Source organism: Homo sapiens, chromosome 11, assembly GCF_000001405.40.
Source record: "Homo sapiens chromosome 11, GRCh38.p14 Primary Assembly".
NCBI classification, from domain to species: Eukaryota; Metazoa; Chordata; class Mammalia; order Primates; family Hominidae; genus Homo; species Homo sapiens.
The window spans coordinates 84,536,358-84,557,018 of record NC_000011.10 but is presented as its reverse complement, the minus strand read 5'-3'; the positions used below and the strand labels follow the sequence as shown (position 1 = coordinate 84,557,018).

Sequence of the window (20,661 nt, the reverse complement as noted above, 5' to 3'; positions counted from 1 at the left end):
CCTCAGGGGAGAGGCAGACAGATATGACCCGGGATGGATACCCAGGGGCCTCCATTCTGCTGGTAATACTTTTTAAAGATGGATGGCAGTTATGAGGAAGTTTGTTACATTATTCCTTATAGATTGTATAGCTGATGTAAATTACTTTGTTATGTAGGGCCATTATCCTTAGCAAACTAACATAGGAACAGAAAACGCAATACTACATGTTCTCAATTATAAGTGGGAGCTAAATGATAAGAACACATGAATGATTCCATAATGAGTTTGAAATATAATTTTTAATCACAATACAAAATAATTGTTTGGTAAGAGTGTGGGAGTACTACATGTGTAATCTGGGGAACAGAGGCTCTTCACCCTCTAACCCAGCTTGTCCAACCTGCGGCCTGTGGGTCACATGTGGCCCAGGACAGCTTCGAATGTGGGCCAACACAAATGCAAAAACATTTGAATAACATCGTGGGACTGTTTTGCAATTTATTTATTTATTTTTAGCTCATCAGCTATCAGTGTGTTTTATGTGTGGCCCAAGACAATTCTTCTCCCATTGTGGCCTAGGGAAGCCAAAAGATCGGAGACTGGATACTCTTGCTCTAACCATTTAGGGTTGTTGCTATGAGCCAAAACAGAAATACGAGTCAGGAAGAAAGACTAAACACATGTTAGGTCAGATGCTCAAGTTTACAAAAAATAACTGGGGGTGCATTTTTGATGAGAGGCTAACACAGAGTATCTTTATACCCACTGTCCACTAGGCCCCAATCTCAAAGCTGGATATGGTTGCTTAAAGTCCACCTGCTACCTGACCATGTCCTGTCTCCTATCAGGCAAAAGATGGGCCCAGATGGGAGTGAACTTAGTCACCAAGTGTTACAAAATTCATTTTTTTTGTTACTTCTTATCTCCTCTGAGAAAAGATGTTGGAGGGTTGAAAGAATAAAAGACATGGACATTTGGAATGTTGTGTGGGTGGGCAAAAGAAAACTTGGAGTTTGTGGCCCCTAGATGCTTCCTACTGTAGGAAATGCAGATGGGCAGGGGCTGAGCTCATTGGCCTGCAGGCTCTGCCACTTGCCTGTCTCAGGCACCAGCACAGGTTCTCTAAATGCCTCCCAACTGGTCTCCCCAACTTTTGCCCTCTCCCTTTGAATCCATTCTCCTTTGGCAGCTAGAGTAAGCTTTTAAAAAATTGTAGTAAAAAATTCATAAAATTTTAGTCTATGTTAACCATTTTAAACTGTACAGTTCAGTAGTGTTAATTATGTTCACTTTGTTGTACAACAGATCCCCCGAACTTCTTCCTCTTGTAAATCTGAAACTTTATATCCTTTAAACAGCTCCCTATTTCTTCCTCTCTCTAGTCCCTGATAACTACCATTTTACTTTCTGTTTCTGTGAATATCACCACTGTAGGCACTTCATATAAATGGAATCATACACCATTTGTCTTTTTATTACCAACCTATTTCACTTAGCATAATGTCCTTAAGATATGTCCATATTGTAGCTTGTGACAAAATGTCCTTTCTTTTTTAAAGCTGAATAACATTTTATTGTGTGTGTGTGTGTATATATGGATATTTCTAACCACATTTTGTTTATTTATTCATCAACAAACATTTGGGTTGCTTCTACCTCTTAGCTATCATGAATAGTACTACTATGAACATGGGTGTGTAAATATCTTTTCAAGACCTTGCTTTCAATTCTTTGGGATATATACCCAGAAGTGGGTTTGCTAGATAATATTGTAGTTCTATTTTCATATTTTTGAAGAACCTCCATACTGCTTTTTATTGCAGTTACATCCTCTTACAGGCTCACTAAGAGTTCAAGAGTGAGCTTTTGAAAATATATATCAGGTCATATCACTCTCCTGCTGAAATTCTTTGTTGACTTCCCATTTTTCTTAGGATGGGGACCCAAATCCTTCCCAAGGCTAACAAGGCCGTATGTAATCTTATTCCAGGTTACCTCTCCTTCCTCATGTTTGCTTCACTCACCCCTCTTCAGAAAGCCGTGTCAATTCCTTGAACCTACCACACTCTTTTCCAACACAAAGATTCTCATGGTTGTTCTTCCTTTCATTTGAAAGGCAGCTTACCCACCTCTTCACATGGGAGATATTCTCATTCCTCTGACTTCAGTTAATATGTCATTGTTTCAGAAAGCATCCTTGACATTCTCTAATGAATATGGTTCCTTCTTGTGCTCTCTTGGAGCATCTTATTTCCTTGACTTTATTTCCTTCATTATTATTATTATTATTGAGACAGAGTTTCACTCTCGTTGCCCAGGCTGGAGTGCAGTGACTCAGTCTCAGCTCACCGCAACCTCCCCATCCTGTGTTCAAGTGATTCTCCTGCCTCAGCTTCCCGAGTGGCTGAGATTACAGGCATGCGCCACCATGCCCGGCTAATTTTGTATATTTAGAAGAGACGGGATTTCTCCATGTTGGTCAGGCTGGTCTTGAACTCCCGACCTCAGGTGATCTGCCCACCTCGGCCTCCCAAAGTGCTGGGATTACAGGCATGAGCTACCGCACCCGGCCCATTTTCTTTATTTTTAAATTATGTTAGTCACCACCACTAGAAGGAAAGCTCCACAAGAGAAATAATACTGCCTATCTTGCTTGTACACTGTTGAATCCCTGCAGCTAGTGCACCTAATAAAACTGGTAGTCGTTCTGCCCTCAAGATTGAGCAAGTCCTATCCACATTAAGGAAAGAGTAATGATTTTTAGGGTTAAAAACTGCCCCATTTGGGAAGCTTCACTGTGATTGTTAATTTTGCATATCCAGGTAAAACTTAATAGTTTAGATAAAAGGATGAATTGATACAAGGATGAAGAAGAAAATAAAACACACAGAACTACAAATGAAGCCATGAACTGAATGGACGAAGATATGCCCAAGCAGAGACTAGAAGTTGCTCATGGGTTTTAGAGAATTTGAATTGAATTCAATTTAGAATTGGACTTTCTGTGATGAATAGAGAATGTGCACTAACTCTTCTTTATCAGCCTGGCCAAGTCTCTAGAAGTGAAAGTCTAAACTTTATGGCAGTGCAGTCATTCAAATCATATCCTCATGGATGATACTTTATCATTTATCTTTCAAATTTTAATTGAATATTCCCCCCAAGCACTCATTCTTCAAGGTTTCCTGACACCTTAGTTTCATGTTGCCAATTTTAAGAAGAAATTATCAAACTTATCTATATTGTAACATGTGAATGGTCCACAATACATTTTAATTTTAATCTAACACAACCGTTTAAGACTGTACCAACCTTCTCAAGGAAAGAATTGTAAGAAACTGCCTTTAAGCATCTTAAATCTCAAGAGAGGAAGTTAACCTTTATGGTTCCTCCTCCGTGAGTTCTAGTCTGCTGTTCCTTTGACAGTATTGTTGCTGTCTCTTGGATTCATACCTTTCCGTTCTTTAAGAGTAGACTGTGATATCTTATTCTCCAAGAAACTGCTCCTTTATACGGCCAAAGCTAGGTTAAATGACCTCTGGGGGAGCATGTGAATATGATATTTTATTTGATATTGTATTGATTCTAACATGCACTTTTTAAATATTTGTATCTCTGAAATCAGCATGCATCTTAACTATGACATTTTAGGTTGATAACATTTATCAGTCTTATCAACTGAAAACAGAGCTCACTGGTCATTGCGTTTTCTCTAAATATTACCAGGGTCTATTACAGTGCATCAGTGACTCATTTTAAGTGCTCAGTGAAATGAGGGATGAATAAAAAGATTACAAACTCAAGGACAATTTTATTGTAAGAACAATACAAAGTGACAAAGGTAAACCACATTTTGGGGGGAATAAGATAGATTAGGAGAGACTGTGGAAAAGGTGACATGAAAAGAATCTTAAAAAGAGCAAGGTATTTCTCACCTGTGATTTGGGAAGCATCATTTCAAGACAGAAGGAAAAGCATGAGACAGGAAGGTGAGAAAAGATTAGAAAGATAAAATGGCTCCAGGAAAGAGCTGCTGAGCTAGTTTGAAAGGAATGCAAATGAGTGAAAAAAATCAGTAAGAGATAGTACTTTAGCAAGAGATTGAGAATGTTGTGAATTTCACATCAAAGTGCGTGCGTTTTATTCTGGAGCAGGAGGAAACTACTGAAGGGTTTTAAAGGGGTGAGTGATATAGCCAAACTTGTGTTTAAGGAAGATGTATCTGAGGGTGATTAGTTAAAAGAATTGGTTGATGGAGAGTATATAGATAAGGAAACCAGTTACTAGGTGGCTAATATTCACTTAACAAACATTTATTAGGACCCACTGAATACCTGGCACAGGTCCTACAGCCATAAACAAGACTCAATCCTTGCATTCAAAGATCTTATAGTGTATAAAAAGTAAACAATTAAATAAACAGACAAAAATGATAGATTAAGTAAATGTCCTGTGAGTGCACAGGTAACTATGAGTTCTGACCGCAGTCTGGGGGTGAGGTGTAGATGACTGATGGAGGCAGTGAATAAATTATGGAGGCTCCTGGAAAGATTGTCATCTTAACTGAACTTTGACGTTAAAGACATGGCAAAAGGCATGTGGAAGGTAACAAGTGCAAAACATTGGAGGTGATCCATTCCTCTTACTCTGAGTTGCAAATAATTCAGATTGGTGAAATTCTAGATTTTGGGGAATGTGGTGGGAAAAGATGAAGAAGCAGAGAAAGGAAAGTTGGTGTGTTGGGGTAGAAAGAAGCAAGAGATATGTTTGGAAAGAGAAATTGAAGGCAAGTGGAATATTCTAGGGAGAAGAAACAAGGGTGTGATGGGGGAGTGGACAATGGAGATAAACAAAAACAAATATATCTGCTGATTTAGAGTCCATTAAACTTGTATTAGATCCATTCACTTGGTAAAATGTACTAAACCTCTTCTATGTGCCAGGGGGTTACTGAGATAGCTACAGCTGTAGTATCACTGCTTTCATCAGGGAGCTCTCAGTCTAATGTAAACCATCTTGGCCTTCACTCTGATATTAGGAGTCATGTTCTGGCAATTTAGTTAGATGGACCCCACTCTGGAAGACATGAGAGAGGAAAGATGCTGAGGGATCATCTTCATCTGTGTAATTTTGTATTTGGGTGACCAGAGAAATGGCAGTGTCATTAACTAGGTTATTTCTATTTATACTTTCTCCCAATTGCATTCTATGGCCCAGCAAGGATAAAGGGAAGCTTACAGACCTTAGCTTTTAAACCAAAGGACCAAAGTATCTACCATACTCAGAAGAAACATCTGAGTCAGAGAGTAAGAAATGCATAATACTTGAGAGACAATATAGTGTGTGAATTAAAGGTGGAATTACAAGGATAATGAGGTATAAATCTCATTCTATCCACTAGTTGTGTGAACAAGTTACTTATTTAATTTCTTTCTCCCTGTATTTTCTCATCTGTTAAATGAGGGAAATAAAACAGTAACTACTCCATAAGTTTGTTTAAGGATTAAATAAATTAAGGCTTGTAAAGCATTAATACATATGCACGTCATGTCACAGGCAGTAATCTGAAAGATGACACTGTCAGTTCCCAGCAGGGCAGCAGGACAAGAAAATTAGAAAACTTTCTGGGTTTTCTTGATTTGGGGCTTACATCTTAAGAGTATAGTAAGCACAAAATAACATTCTACAATTGCACATTAAGTTGCATATTAAGCATCTAGATCAAGTATAAATATGCTTTTATTATTTCCAAAAGGCATTTTATTAGACACTATTGTATTTGGAGAATATTTAAACCACCATAAGCAAGCATGGATTATAAAGCAACCTTATTTGAGGAAACATTAATATTTTTATTAAAGTGTCTGATTGTGAAATAAACCTCTTTGATTGGAACACACTAGTAATAGGGCCACACTTTCTGCCTTATTTTTCAACTTTCCCATGTTCCAATGCCATTGACACCAGCTCATTATGAGGTGCTCTAAAACAAAGGCAGCTGGATAGATCAAGCCCATTTGCACCACCACCAGAGACAATTCACAGTGGTTGCCTACCTGGACCCCTGAGTGTCTTCCCATAGAAAGGACAGCTGTTCATAACTGCTTCTTGGTACAGGAAGTATGTTGAGGAAAAAGGGAGCTCAAAGAGCTGGATTACCTAACGCAACTAGAATTTAATTTCGACAGAGTCACAGATTTTTGCTTTTTTTAAACTACTGTATTTCTAGCACTTAAAATTTAGTGATTAGCATATAACACGCTAGATAAACATTCTGTTGGATGAATGAATAATGGTGCTTCCCACTAGGAAGGAACTTTAGTCTTTATAGTGTCACAGAGGATATATATGCCAATCGACCACCCAGGAAGTCCCAGGACCAGGAACAAAGTCTGCTGGAGATCATCCAGGAGATATTCTAGGTTCAGGTGGGTAACTGATCTCATCCTTGGAAGTCAAATATAATGGGAAGGCTAGGCAAGTGCCAATTTCACAGGTAGGTTCTGAAGTCCAAAAACTCACATGGTTAGGAAGAGTAGCTTGAATGAGCAGTGAAGGCAATTTCAGCACCTGTGTCTGAGACTTTTTTTTTCTCTGCCTGCTGGACAGAGATGATCATCATAAGTGGAAGATACCAAGAGTAGGAGTGTTGACCTAGCTAGAGGTGTGAGTAGAATTTGGGTAAGATGGCCTCACATACAGAAAAGGCACTGGATCAAGAGAAGTGGCAGCAAGGCCTTAGCAGCTCATTTTACCACCTTCAGAAAGTTTGTGCTGTTCTGTAGGGATGCTACAATACTCTACAATACTGGTAATAGCATGGTGGAAGCCTGTTCCCTGTAATGGTGATAAGGCTGAATTGAGCATATACATGCATGTGTGTGTATGTGTGTGTGTGTGTGTGTGTGTGTGTGTGTGTGTATAGGCTCGTTTTACAATACTTGGAAAGATGACTGCATGACACTGGTAGAGAAATAGGAATGCTGGGTGTGGTGACTCATGCCTGTAATCCCAGCACTTTGGGAATTTGAAGCAGACAGATCACTTGAGGCCAGGAGTTCGAGGCCAGCCTGGCCTACATGGAGAAACACTGTCTCTACTTAAAAATACAAAAAATTATCCAGGCGTGGTGGTGCAAGCCTGTAATCTCAGCTACTTAGGAGTCTGAGGTGGGAGAATCTCGTGAGCCCAGGAGGCGGAGGTTGCAGTGAGCTGAGATTGCGCCACTGCACTCCAGCCTAGGTGACAGAGCGAGACTCCATCTCAAAAACAAACAAACAAAAAAAGAGAAATAGGAAGAATCTTATATTTCCTAAGCACCTGTTAGGAGGCGGGTCCTGGCCCAAAGAGTTTGGGCATATTATCTCATCAATTTCCTATAGTGACACTGTCATACATTATTAGTCCAATTTTAAAATGAGGAGTCTGAGTTTCAGAGAGCCTTCATACTTCCCTAAAGTCGCACTGCTGGTTGGTGCAGGAACAGGATTTAAACCCAGGAACTGAGCTGCAGGGAATTTGCATCGCTTGAGGAAGCATTTTGCTGAAATGAACATTTCCTCTTTTCTGGGCACCAGGTGCACTGAGCAAAACATGTTTCTAGCTTTTAGTAGTGAATGATTCTCACTCACAGATGCTGTAGCAGTTGCACAGCTGGTGGATTAGTCAGACAGGGACTGCCCACAAGATCGTACAGTGCTCAATAGAATCCAGTGGCAGTTATCCCTGGAAAATTACTCAGACCATGTTTGAAGTTTTGCTTCAAATGGATGAACTACTGTTGAGTTTGCTCCCAAATCATTGCTTTGATTTCTTGGTACCAAAGCAATTTGACTTAAAGCCTGGTCCTCTCCAGCAAATTTATTCCCGGCACATCCCTCTTTCATTTGTCAGCTGGAAACCCCTTCCTTTGCATCCTTCAGCCAGTTCTCAAAATTAACTCAACTGAACATGGATAAACCCTTTCCAGGACTAGAGAATTTTTCCTTATCACAAAACTTATACCACACTGAACCTTCTCCAGTACAACAAAGCAAATACTTGATCATGTTTTACATATTCTAATTCTTTTTATTCCTCAAAGAAATATATGTAGCTCCAAAAAATGAAAGTAATAGTCATCCAGAAATAACCATGGTCAACATATTAGTATATTCTTCCAGACCTCTTCCCTGCCTTGCATACACTTTAATCTATTTTATTGGGCTTATTTGAGGTTGGTACACTCAAATGTGAGTCAAGCTGCTGACCTGGGGTTTAGATGGGCTCGTGTAAGAATACTTAGTGTGGTCTCCGTATGTTTATTGTGGCACTATTCACAATAGCAAAGACTTGGAACCAACCCAAATGTCCAATAATGATAGACGGGATTAAGAAAATGTGGCACATATACACCATGGAATACTATGCAGCCATAAAAATGTTGAGTTCATGTCCTTTGTAGGGACATGGATGAAGCTGGAAACCATCATTCTCAGCAAACTATCGCAAGGACAAAAAACCAAACACCGCATGTTCTTACTCATAGGTGGGAATTGATCAATGAGAACACATGGACACAGGAAGGGGAACATCACACACCGGGGCCTGTTGTGGGGTGGGGGGCGGGTGGGGATGGATAGCATTGGGAGATATACCTAACGTTAAATGATGAGTTACTGGGTGCAGCACACCAACATGGCACATGCATATATGTAACAAACCTGCACGTTGTGCACATGTACCCTAAAACTTAAAGTATAATAAAAATAAAAATTAAAAAAAAAAGAATACTTAGCGTTGTCTCATTTGTGTGTTATGCTTCCGTAGCTGCTCTGACTCAGTGCTGGCAGTGGAGAAGGAAGAAGGGAACTCAGTTCTTCTCTGCATGTTACTGTTTTTCTTTCTGTCAACTCTTTTACTCCAGGAAGCCACCAGCTAATACACTTTGTCAGGGATGTCATACCCAAAGCTGGAACAATTCTCCCTGCTAAATGAAAACTTTCAAAGGAACTCACTTTATTACCTGTGCTACACAACATAAACCAATTTTTGATTTTATTGTTGAAAATCTTACAGGGTACTACTGTTCAATAACCAGCTCTACTGTAGAATAGTGACAGGCTTCTTGACTATGCACTACTTCTAGGATGTGCTAGTCATGGTGGAGTACACAGGAGTCTAAGGAGCTTACATCTCTACCAGGGGTAGTTCCATTTAGTAGCATTTATTAAGCACCTACTGGGTCCCAAGCAGAATATTTGCCCCTGGTACAATAATGAATTGTGAACTCTTCCCATTCCAGTGAGAATGGCAGAGACATACATGCTTTGAGAAAAAAGAGGGATTCTCAGGGAGTCAGACATGGGAGCACAGAATAAGAATGCTTAGCCAAATTTGGATGTCTAGGGAAAGCATCTGGAAAGATATCATTTATCAACTAAGTTTTGAAGGTTGAGCAGTATGTGAAAAAGAGTTGGGAAAGTTATGAGAGGTAGAGAAGACATCAAGAGCAAAGGGCAAGGATGAGCTGTATCTTCTTTATTCACTATTACATCTCTAGCACATGGTACAATATCTGGCATAGAAGTGGTGCTCAGTAAATTCTTTTTGCATACAAAAGTGCAAAGAGAAGGTTTTCAAGCATTTAAGATGGCGTAAAGAAAGGCTAAAGTGTACTTTGTGAGACTAGGAGGGCTGTGAGATTTGATAAACTGTCTATGTGTTATGGAGTAGTGGGAGAAGTTGCAGTTAGAGAATTTGAAAAATTCAAAACAGTAAAAGGCAAAAATTTTTCCTTTAGTTTTTTCTATTCTTCCAATTTTTTATAATCAAATAACATATCTAATGTTCCAGTAAAACAATCATAACTTCTACTAAGTGACTACTTACTAGATCACAGACACTCACTCTTCTAAGTGCCTTCCATGCATCATCTCACTTGGCTTTCTAAAAAATCTTGTGAGGTAGTTGCTATTCCAGTTTTGCAGATAAGATTACCATGTCTCAGAGGGTTTAATAAGTTGCCCAAGGTCATGTGGTTATCAAAGTAGGAATTGATGCAGGCCGTCTCTCCAGAATCTGCGCTTTTAGGCGCTGTTCTGAAACTGAGGTTCTAGAAACTTATTCTACTGAGATACATTTGTCACCTTACTCCTTTTGGCCCTGGGATGCCACAGAGGAATCATCACTAAAGTCTATCTTCCTACTGCCATCATGTCTAAGTCGGAGTCTCTGAAAGAGCCCGAATAACTGGAAGGTCTTCATTGGAGGGTTGAGGTTTGAAACAACCCATGAGAGTCTGAAGAGCCATTGTGAGCAATTGGGAGCACTCATGGACTGTGTGGTAATGAGATATCCAAACACCAATTGCTCCAGGGCCTTTGGGTTTGTCACATATGCCACTGTGGAGGAGGTGGATGCAGCCCTAAATGCCATGCTACATGAGGTATGAGAGAGTCGTGGAACCAAAGACAGTTGTCTCAAGAGGAGATTCTCAAAGACTAGTTGCCTACTTAACTGTGAAAAAGATATTTGTTGATGGCTGTATCAGCTCATGGTTGCACTGCTATCAAGAAATACCCAAGACTGGGTAATTTATAAGGAAAAGAGGAAAAGAGGTTTAATTGGCTCATGGTTCTTTCAGTCTGTGCCAGAAGCATGATGCTGGCCTCTGTTGGGCTTCCGGGGAGGCCTCAGGAAACTTTCAATCATGGCAGAAGGCAAACAGGAAGCAGACTGACATGGCCAGAGCAGGAGGAAGAGAGAGGGCAGGGGAGATGCTTCACACTTCCAAACAATCAGATCTCGTGAGAACTCTGTCATGAGACAGCACCAGGGAGATGATGCTAAACCATTAGAAACCACCCCTATGATCCAATCACCTCCCACCAGGCCCCACCTCCAGCAGTAGGGACTACATTTCAACTTGAGATTTGGGTGGGAACACAGATCCAAACCATATGAGTGGCACTAAAGAAGACACTGAAGAACATCACCTAAGAGCCAGGCATGGTGGGTCACTCTCACAATCCCAGCACTTCGGGAGGCCGAGGCGGATGGATCACTTGAGATCAGAAGTTCAAGACCAGCCTGGCCAACATGGCGAAACCCCATCTCTACTAAAAATAAGAAAATTATATGGGCTTGGTAGTGGGCACCTGTAATCCCAGCTACTTAGGGGGCTGAGGTGGAAGAATCACTTAAACTCAGGAGGCAGAGGTTGCAGTGAGCAGAGATTGCACCACTTCACTCCAGCCTGGGCTACAGAGCAAGACTCCTTCTCAAAAAAAAAAAAAAAAAAAAAAGAACATCACCTAAGACATTACTTTGAAGAATGTGGGAAAATTGAAGTGACTGAAATCATGAATGACCGAGGCAGTGGCAAGCAAAGGGATTTTGCCTTTGTAACTCTTAAGGACCATGACTCTATGAATAAGATTGAAGTACCATATTGTGAATGGCCACAACTGTGAAGTTAGGAAACTTCAAAGAGTGTTCAGTAAATTCATCCCTGTCAAAGCAAGAGAAGGCTAGTGCTTCATTGAGCCAAAGAAGCCAAAGTAGTTCTGGATGCTTTGGTGGTGGTTGTGGAGGTGGTTTTGGTATGAACTATGATTGTGGAGGAATCTTCAGTGGTCGTAGTAGCTTTGGTGGCAGCCGTGGTGGTTGTGGATATGGTGGCAGTGGGATGGCTATAATGGATTTGTAAATGATGGAAGCAGTTTTAGAGGTGAAGGAAGCTACAGTGATTTTGGCAGCTACAACAATCAGTCTTCAAATTTTGGACCCATGAGGAGAGAAACCTTAGGAGGCAGAAGCTCCAGCCCCTCTGGTGATGAAGGACAATCCTTTGCCAAACCATGAAACCAAGGAGGCTCTCGTGGTTCCAGTAGCAGCATTAGCCATGGCAGTGGCAAAAATTCTAATTACTGCAAAGAAACAAAGCTTAGCGTGAGAGAGAGAAGTGACAGGGAAGCTACAGGTTACAACAGATTTGTGAACTCAGCCATGCACAGTGGTGGCAGCACCTAGCTGCTACAAAGAAAACATGTTTTAGACAATACTCATGTGTATGGACAAAAAATTCAAGGACTGTATTTGTGACTAATTGTATAACAGGTTATTATTGTTTCTGTTCTGTGGAAGTGAAGAGCATTCCACCAAAGACTTTTTGCTGTGTGAAAAATTCACTTTTAGCGACCACTTTTTTTGGTTGTGGCTGTTGTTGTTACGACAAATCTGCAGAGTACCAAGTTCTTGAGACTCCAAGCCAAAGGGAGCATTACATTTGCCAAGCAGCCACTGTATGCCAGGAGTACAGCATCTCATTCAATCTTTGTATTTCTATGAGATATATATTGTAATTCCTGGTTCATAACTTCAGTCAACCAAAGCTCAGTTGTATCCAGCAATGTGATAGATGTCTCCCAGATAGCAAGTAGTATAACCAAGATTTGAGATCATGTGTCTAATGCCAGAATTCATGCACTTTCCACTATGTGAGGCTGCCTCTTGGAATCAGAGGACTATTTTGGTTTGAAACACAGCTTTACTATTTATTTAGCACTTTAGAAACTCTCTGACCCTCTGTTTTCTCATTTGGAAATGAGAATGATGATACCTGTTTAATCTATCCAATTCTTGAGAGAATTACTCAAGACAGTGTTGCTGAAAGTGCTTTGTAAATTATAAAGAGCATCCTCAATGTGTGGCATCTTACAAAATTTCATTTTGCAATTCCATACTCGTTATTTTCCCAGTTCATAGGTCTGTGGTTCCATTCTGACTTAGAGAGCTTGAGGTCTGTTTAGAATTAAACAGTTAACTTTAGAATTACAGTTACCTCTCCTGTGTGAGTCTAGCCTTCCCTAGATCCTGAGCCTAGCTCATTTTAGGGGAGAAATGGCATTTCTACCAGGCTACATTTCCAATATCTTCAGTTAACAGATGGAGGGTGGCACTGAGCTAGAGTAAGTTCTCCCATAGTTATTTAAATCATCAGTTCCTTAAAAAGGATCTTAGAATTCATTAAATATTCATGAAGCATCCTTCCTGGCAGCTAGTCCATAGTAGGTAATTACATAGAGTTTAAAATATCTGACGTTGCTTGGAAGCACACAAAGCTCTGTCAGCTGCAAGCAGACAGCTGATTTGTAATTTAATTAACATCCTGGCTTGTCCTGTTCTTTGTGGAAAAAAAGCAGGAAAGTATTTCCTTTCACTTTTGAGTTTTGTTTAAAAAAAATTCAAATGGAGCACCTGGGAGAGCTTTTTATTTCTCCCATCAGTGCTGTTACTTACATTCTTCTCCAAACTGGAAAAATTCCTCTTTCAAGGGTTCTTTGGGCAAGCCATATTGCTAATTGTGGGTCATTGTTTTTTTAAAGGGTGATTATTTTGAAGATAGATCTGGCTGCAAAGTACTTACTTATTCAACAAACATTTATCAAGTAACTCCTATGTGGCAGGCACTAGAGGTCAGCAGTAAACCAAGCAGGTGGGGCCCTTGACCCCATGGGGAGAGGGGCGGGGACGGTTAGTTCAGTGGAGGAGACAAACATCCAGCGAATCATCACAGAAATAAATGTAAAATAAAAATGTGCCAAGGTTTATGAAGAATAAGGACAGGGTGCCCTGAAAGCCTATGAAGCAGGGAGCAGTGTGCGGTGTGCAGAGGCAGGGAGAGAACTTCCTAATCTGGGAAGTCAGGAGGTCACCTTGAGGAAGTGAAGGGGAAAATTATGTAGTCTCTCTTGCCTTTCCTCCTCCCATTTTTCTCCTATCTGAAACTACCTACCTCCACCCCCAGATTTGCAACCTATATGTAACCATTCTGAAAGAATGGATTGGAATAACAGAAATAAAACTGTGCTCCAGTCAGGATATCATTCAGAGAATTCATTTCAAATTAAAGAAATGAATATAAATATTGATCTGATCATTGCACTGAACATTCCTTTATCTTCTCTTGTTTTCTTTTTTACCCATGTTTTCCCTCCAGAGAGGAAGGCAGTGAGTAGGAGTGAGGATGCAGTAGGTATATAAAAGTGATGAGACACAGGTCATAGATAGGCTGAGGCATCATGGAAAAAGGAAGAAGCTGGAGAAAAGGATTTGCTGGGTACAGACTGCAGAAATCCCTAAAAGTAAATGTCAAAGTGTTTAAACAAATCATTGTTCTCAAAATAAGAAGGTGGCTGGCAGGGCCTAGATGGGAATACTCAATTATGGAACTTAAATTTCTACAGCCTTGAGATGAAATGGAAATTTTTTGTTTTCACGTGGTTCATCATTGAGCTCGTTTTCTTTGTCCTTTTGGTTTTCTGTTTTTTTCTGAGATTCACTTACCTCTTCCTTAGGGATCCCTTTGAAATTCTGTTATTATTATTATTTTGTTTTTACCAACTTCTTGCTTCTAGAATATGTGCTTCCTTTCAGCCCAAGCACATTTTTTAAATTAAGAGGCTTTCTTCCAGAAGCAGCACTCAATCAGTCAACACAGGCCTATTGGACACACACTATGTATGTAGCATTCTAGCCTGACCACTCTGCAGGATACAAAGATACATGTCAGGGTTCTTACCCTCAAAGAACTTGGATTACAGAGGGACAGATAAAACTTGACACAGAGAACATGGTTTGTCAGTATAGTTAACAGAGACAGTGAAACTAACAAGTTTTTTAATGTCAGGCTTTGTGTAAGGAACTGTAATTATTACTTAATTTTATACCTGCTTCATAATGCTACTATCAGCCTTAAGTGGGATAATTTCTGTGACATTCTTAGCAAAGCGTTCATGGATAGTATTCACTATTAGGTATGATAATATGCCACCTATTCATGTGCACACAAACATGTTCTAGCTCTCCAGCTTTTGATTTGTTCCTTCCCCCTCTCTCTCTTTCTCTCTCTCTCTCTCTCTCTCTCATCAGTACTGTGCCAACTCCTGCTACAAGGGGGAAGTAGAGCACTTTTTATGAAGCAACAGAGGTAAACTCAGATTTTTGTTTATGAAACCTTGAAATATTTCCAATTTCTGGATCAGTTATCATGCACTGTGCCAGCAAAATGCCATCTTCCAAATTGCACCAGAGAACCTCCAGTGACAGATCAGGCACATGTAAGATTCCGTTTTTAAATTCTGGGAAACTCAGGATGGTTTGTTCTGACTCACACAAGCATCAGCAGAATGTACTGAGCAGAGCCTGGTCAGACTTCCTTAGCCTTTTTCTGTCTGTGTAGGGGGGACTGTGGTAGAAAATGAGTATGAGTATAACTGCGTGCAAGCTCAGCTGGGAGGGCTTTCTGATTATGCGGATCATGTTATTGCTCAGATAATTACAGTTTAATTCAGTTAAACTTACATTTACTGATCTCTTTTTATGTGTCATTTGTCGGTTGGGCATTGGAGATTCAGAGATGAACATGACTCTACCTCTGCTCTTGAGGCATTTGTGGGCTACTAGGGGAGATAGGCACATGGAGAGGTCATTACAGTATAAAGTTCTTATTCATTGACAAAATCCTGTGCAGAACACTATGGGAGCATAAAAGAGATACAGATTTCCAACCTTTGAAGTCAGAGAATGCTTCTGAGGAGGCAACACTAAATCTGATAATCAAGGACCTAAAAAAGTTTGCTTGATGAAGGAATCTGGGGTTGGGGGCAGGGTTAAGCTTCAGAACGGGGACGGGGATAGAATTCCAGAAGTCAGGGGCAAAATGAACTAAGATAGGGAGACATAAGTAGTATACCAGGCATCCCTGTCTTGAGCACCTATCCTGCCTCTACTCCCCTTAGAGCTGAAACAGGAAATATAATCTGTTTACAAAGTTTCTTTATTATTATTATTATTATTATTATTATAATACTTCAAGTTCTAGGGTACATGTGCACAACATGCAGGTTTGTTACATATGTATACATGTGCCATGTTGGTGTGCTACACCCATTAACTCGTCATTTACATTAGGTATATCTCCTAATGCTATCCCTCCCCTCTCCCTCCACCACATGACAGGTCCCGGTGTGTGATGTTCCCCACCCTGTGTCCAAGTGTTCTCATTGTTCAATTCCCACCTATGAGTGAGAACATGCAGTGTTTGGTTTTCTGTCCTTGTGATAGTTTGCTCAGAATGATGGTTTCCAGCTTCATCCATGTCCCTACAAAGTACATGAACTCATCCTTTTTTATGGCTGCATAGTATTCCATGGTGTATATGTGCCACATTTTCTTAATCCAGTCTATCATTGATGGATGTTTGGGTTGGTTCCAAGTCTTTGGTATTGTGAATAGTGCCTCAATAAACATACGTGTGCATGTGTCTTTATAGCAGCATGATTTATAATCCTTTGGGTATGTACCCAGTAATGGGATGGCTGGGTCAAATGGTATTTCTAGTTCTAGATCCTTGAGGAATCGCCACACTGACTTCCACAATGGTGGAAGTAGTTTACGGTCCCACCAACAGTGTAAAAGTGTTCCTATTTCTCCACATCGTCTCCAGCACCTGTTGTTTCCTGACTTTTAATGATCGCCATTCTAACTGAGTGAGATGGTATCTCATTGTGGTTCTGATTTGCATTTCTCTGATGGCCAGTGATGATGAGCATTTTTTCATGTGTCTGTTGGCTGCATAAATGTCTTCTTTTGAGAAGTGTCTGTTCATATCCTTTGCCCACTTTTTGATGGGGTTTTTTTTTTTTTTTCTTGTAAATTTGTTTAAGTTCTTTGTGGATTCTGGATATTAGCCCTTTGTCAGATGGGTAGATTGTAAAAATTTTCTCCCATTCTGTAGGTTGCCTGTTCACTCTGATGGTAGTTTCTTTTGCTGTGCAGGAGCTGTTTAGTTTAATTAGATCCCATTTGTCAATTTTGGCTTTTGTTGCCATTGCTTATGGTGTTTTAGACATGAAGTTCTTGCCCATGCCTATGTCCTGAGTGGTATTGCCTAAGTTTTCTTCTAGGGTTTTTATGGTTTTAGGTCTAACATTTAAGTCTTTAATCCATCTTGAATTAATTTTGGTATAAGATGTAAGGAAGGATTCCCGTTTCAGCTTTCTATATATGGCTAGCCAGTTTTCCCAGCACCATTTATTAAATAGGGCATCCTTTCCCCATTTCTTGTTTTTGTCAGATTTGTCAAAGATCAGATGGTTGTAGATGTGTGGTATTATTTCTGAGGGCTCTGTTCTGTTCCATTGGTCTATACCTACCATGCTGTTTTGGTTACTGTAGCCTTGTAGTATAGTTTGAAGTTAGGTAGCATGATGCCTCCAGCTTTGTTCTTTTGGCTTAGGATTGTCTTGGCAATGTGGGCTCCTCTTTGGTTCCAAATGAACTTTAACGTACCTTCCATGCTCATGGTTAGGAAGAATCAATATCGTGAAAATGGCCATACTGCCCAAGGTAATTTATAGATTCAGTGCCATCCCCATCAAGCTACCGATGACTTTCCTCACAGAATTACAAAGTTTCTTTTACTCAAGTCCCCTTCAACAGACCAAGCTGAGGAGAGAAAAAGAAGAAAGCACAGACTGCAATACAGAGGCCTTCTGCCAATGGCCCTCATTTTGTAGGCAATAGAGAAATCCTCAAAGGTGCCCAGAATGACATTAGTACCTACCAGACAAGCCTTGGAATGAAAAGTTTGACTCAGAATTACCCAGAATGTTAGGGTTGATTCTTAGTCAGGGTGTAAGAATATTTCCTAAAAATTTTATTTCCTGAAGATAAAGTTGTCCTCTAAAGACCTTTGAGTCCTAACTAACTTAGAAGACTAAGTGCTCTTTCTCTAGAGTGAAATTAACATGTATTTGAAACCTGGTTTGCCACTTTCCAGGTATGTAAGCTTAGAAAAATACCTAATTATCTGAGTCTAAGATAAAGAGAATAACACCTATGTCTCATATGGTGATGATGGATATAAAGCATTTAATATGGCTCCAGGTACATTAACTGTAGCTGGTATTATTATTGGTTGTAATATTGCATTAGTGTTAGGATTAGCATTAATGTTGGTGTTAATATTAATCCTAGTGTTATAAATCAGTACCTTTGTTCAGCCAAAGGAAATAAAGATTTGAATACAAGCAGAGAAATTCTGCTATATCATATCAGGGTGATTCCTTTGGAAGCTTGAGTTTGAGTTAAAGATGTGACTTTCTCATCAGTTCTTGTCATTTCTTGCTTAGTCATAGGCTGAAGACTCAAAGAAAAAAAAACACGGGAATGTCTGGTTGGCACTGGGCAGAGTATTATTTAGGTCCACGGTCTCTTGGATGACTCCCTATTGTCTACAGTGGACACCAATCTGCCTTCCAGTCTCCTCCTGCCACACTGTACCTTACATCCCAAGCTTCATCCAAGTCTTACATCAGCTCACTAGAAGCAGACCTAAGATGAGATTTCATGTGTGCATGATTTATGGAGGGCAGTTCCAAGAAAAAAAAAAAACATAGGGAGTAAGGGAAGCACAAAGGAACTGTGCAGAAATATAGGTTCAGGTACAGTCTAAATTTAAGCTAATCTCGCTGGATACTTTGTAGTGTAATTCACATCACGGGATTTGTCTCACCGTGAGGTATGAGAGTTGGGGTTCAAATATGACTCCTGTGGACATCCAAGAGAGGAGGCTTCAATCACCTAAGGGTAATGTTCCTGAAAAGTATGCAGATATGAGCCTTCAATGGGTAAAAAAGATTTCCATGAATTTGGATGGGGACACAATAGCATCTGCTACAATCCACTTTAAGACCTCACTGTTCCCTCAAACATCATCCCCTCTTACCACATGTCTCTTCACATGTTGTGCCTTTGGCTGGAATATCTTTTACCTCTTTATGGTATTCCAGACCCTGTTTCAAACTGAGAAGCTGCAGCCAGCCAGCCACAAATGCTTGCCCATTTCTGCTCCCACAGAACTGAGTTTATCACGAGGTATGGTAGCTTATCTGTGCACAAGTATAACTCAGTAATTTATGGTCTTCTTGAAGTCAAGGGTTGTTCTTTTCAGTTCATATTCTTAGCATATACTGAAATGAATGATGAGGAGAAAGATATGTAGTACTTAATAGCCTGATGTCCTTTTAGATTGTGTCAAGCAAATGATGTGATTGTCCTTTTTACTTGAACCTGAGTTCACAGCATTTTATAGTGAAAAAGTTTTCATCCAGTAGCCAAAATAGTATTGTGGCTTAAGCAAGTGATATCTATTTCATCCATTTGTGTAATGGTAGCTCATGGCTATATTCAACAAACACTTATTGAGCATATGTGTTGTGCATATGACTAAAGACTGGAGATGTGAGAATAAACAATACCAATGTGGTCCCAGTCCTTACAAGATTTTACAGTTCCGTGGAAAAACACAGAAAATACACAACCATATAGCATGACAAGAGTTGTAATTGGAGACTCTAGGGAGTTATGGGAACATGCACATGAAGAAGTTCTGGAGATCTGTTGCACAACAAAGTGAATATAAGTAACACTACTGAACCGTATACTTAAAAATGGTTAAAATGGTCAAAATTTTATGTGTATTTTACCACAAATTTTAAAAGAAGCTTAAAAATGAGACTCAATAGTTTGTTTATATTTATTTTATAATTATTGGAGTGAGAATGTTGAGAACAAAAGTAATTCAGGGCTGGGTGCGGTGGCTCACGCCTGTAATCCTAGCACTTTGGGAGGCTGAGGTGGACGGATCACCTGCGGTAAGAGTTCGAGACCAGCCTGGCTAAGATGGTGAAACCCCGGCTCTACTAAAAATAAAAAAAATAGCCAGGCGTGGTGGTGCCCGCCTGTAGTCCCAGCTACTCGGGAGGCTGAGGCAGGAGAATTGCTCGAACTCGGGAAGCAGAGGTTGCAGTGAGCTGAGATCGTGCCACTGCACTCCAGCCTGGGGTGACAAGAGCTGGAGTCCGTCTCATAAAAAAAAAAGTAATTCAGAAGTAATGGGGGTTCAGCATATATAGTAGTAGGGTTATGGCAGTGTAAGAAAGCTTGTATTCTGTCCTGTGGGCAGTGTGAGCCATTGGAAGTTTTCAAGGAGGACTTTATCAGCATGTGATTCACAAAGTCCCCTGGATCAGTGTAGAGAATTTATGGGAAACGGGCAACCCCACAGACAGGCTAGCCAGCTCAGAGGCTGTTTCTATAGCCCAGCTGAGAACTTATGGGATCCTGAACATGGACAGTGTTGGTGGGGGTATGGGAAGAATAAGGAGAGTGTGGACTCAAGTATTATTTAGGATATAAATCAAGCAGACTCATCAACTTATTAAATTGGCAGATGGCAGCAGGCAAAAGACAGGATGGAGTCTGATTGACTCCTACTTTTCTGGCTCAGATGACAACATAGATGGTAGTGCCTTTATGAGAGAATCAAAAATGTGGAGCAGACGTGGGAGTTAATGGGTTGAAAGCCAGAGAAACTAAAATGGGCGCAAGTGTGACACTATTCCACTCATAATGGGCGTAACTGATCAAAAGTGAATGTTAAATTTGATCCATGTTTCTGAGGCAGATTACATTCCCAAATTATTCATAAGGTTAGATAAACAAAAGCATGGTATTTGCAGTTCACAGAAATGTTCTAACCTCATTGTGTCGTGTATTCTCAGTGATTTTTTTTTTTCTACTAAGCAGCCAATTCAGTTTTCAGACTTGGACTTCATCTCTTTATGGGGTAGA

General features: G+C 40.2%; 1 protein-coding gene and 1 pseudogene across 34 annotated transcripts in view; both read left to right on the top strand.

The window, feature by feature from the left end:
* Window positions 1-20,661, top strand: part of DLG2 (discs large MAGUK scaffold protein 2) — a 2,173,362-nt gene that overhangs the window by 1,071,355 nt on the left and 1,081,346 nt on the right. The gene's annotated exons all lie outside the window — the stretch shown is intronic.
* Window positions 10,095-12,087, top strand: HNRNPA1P72 (heterogeneous nuclear ribonucleoprotein A1 pseudogene 72; annotated as a pseudogene).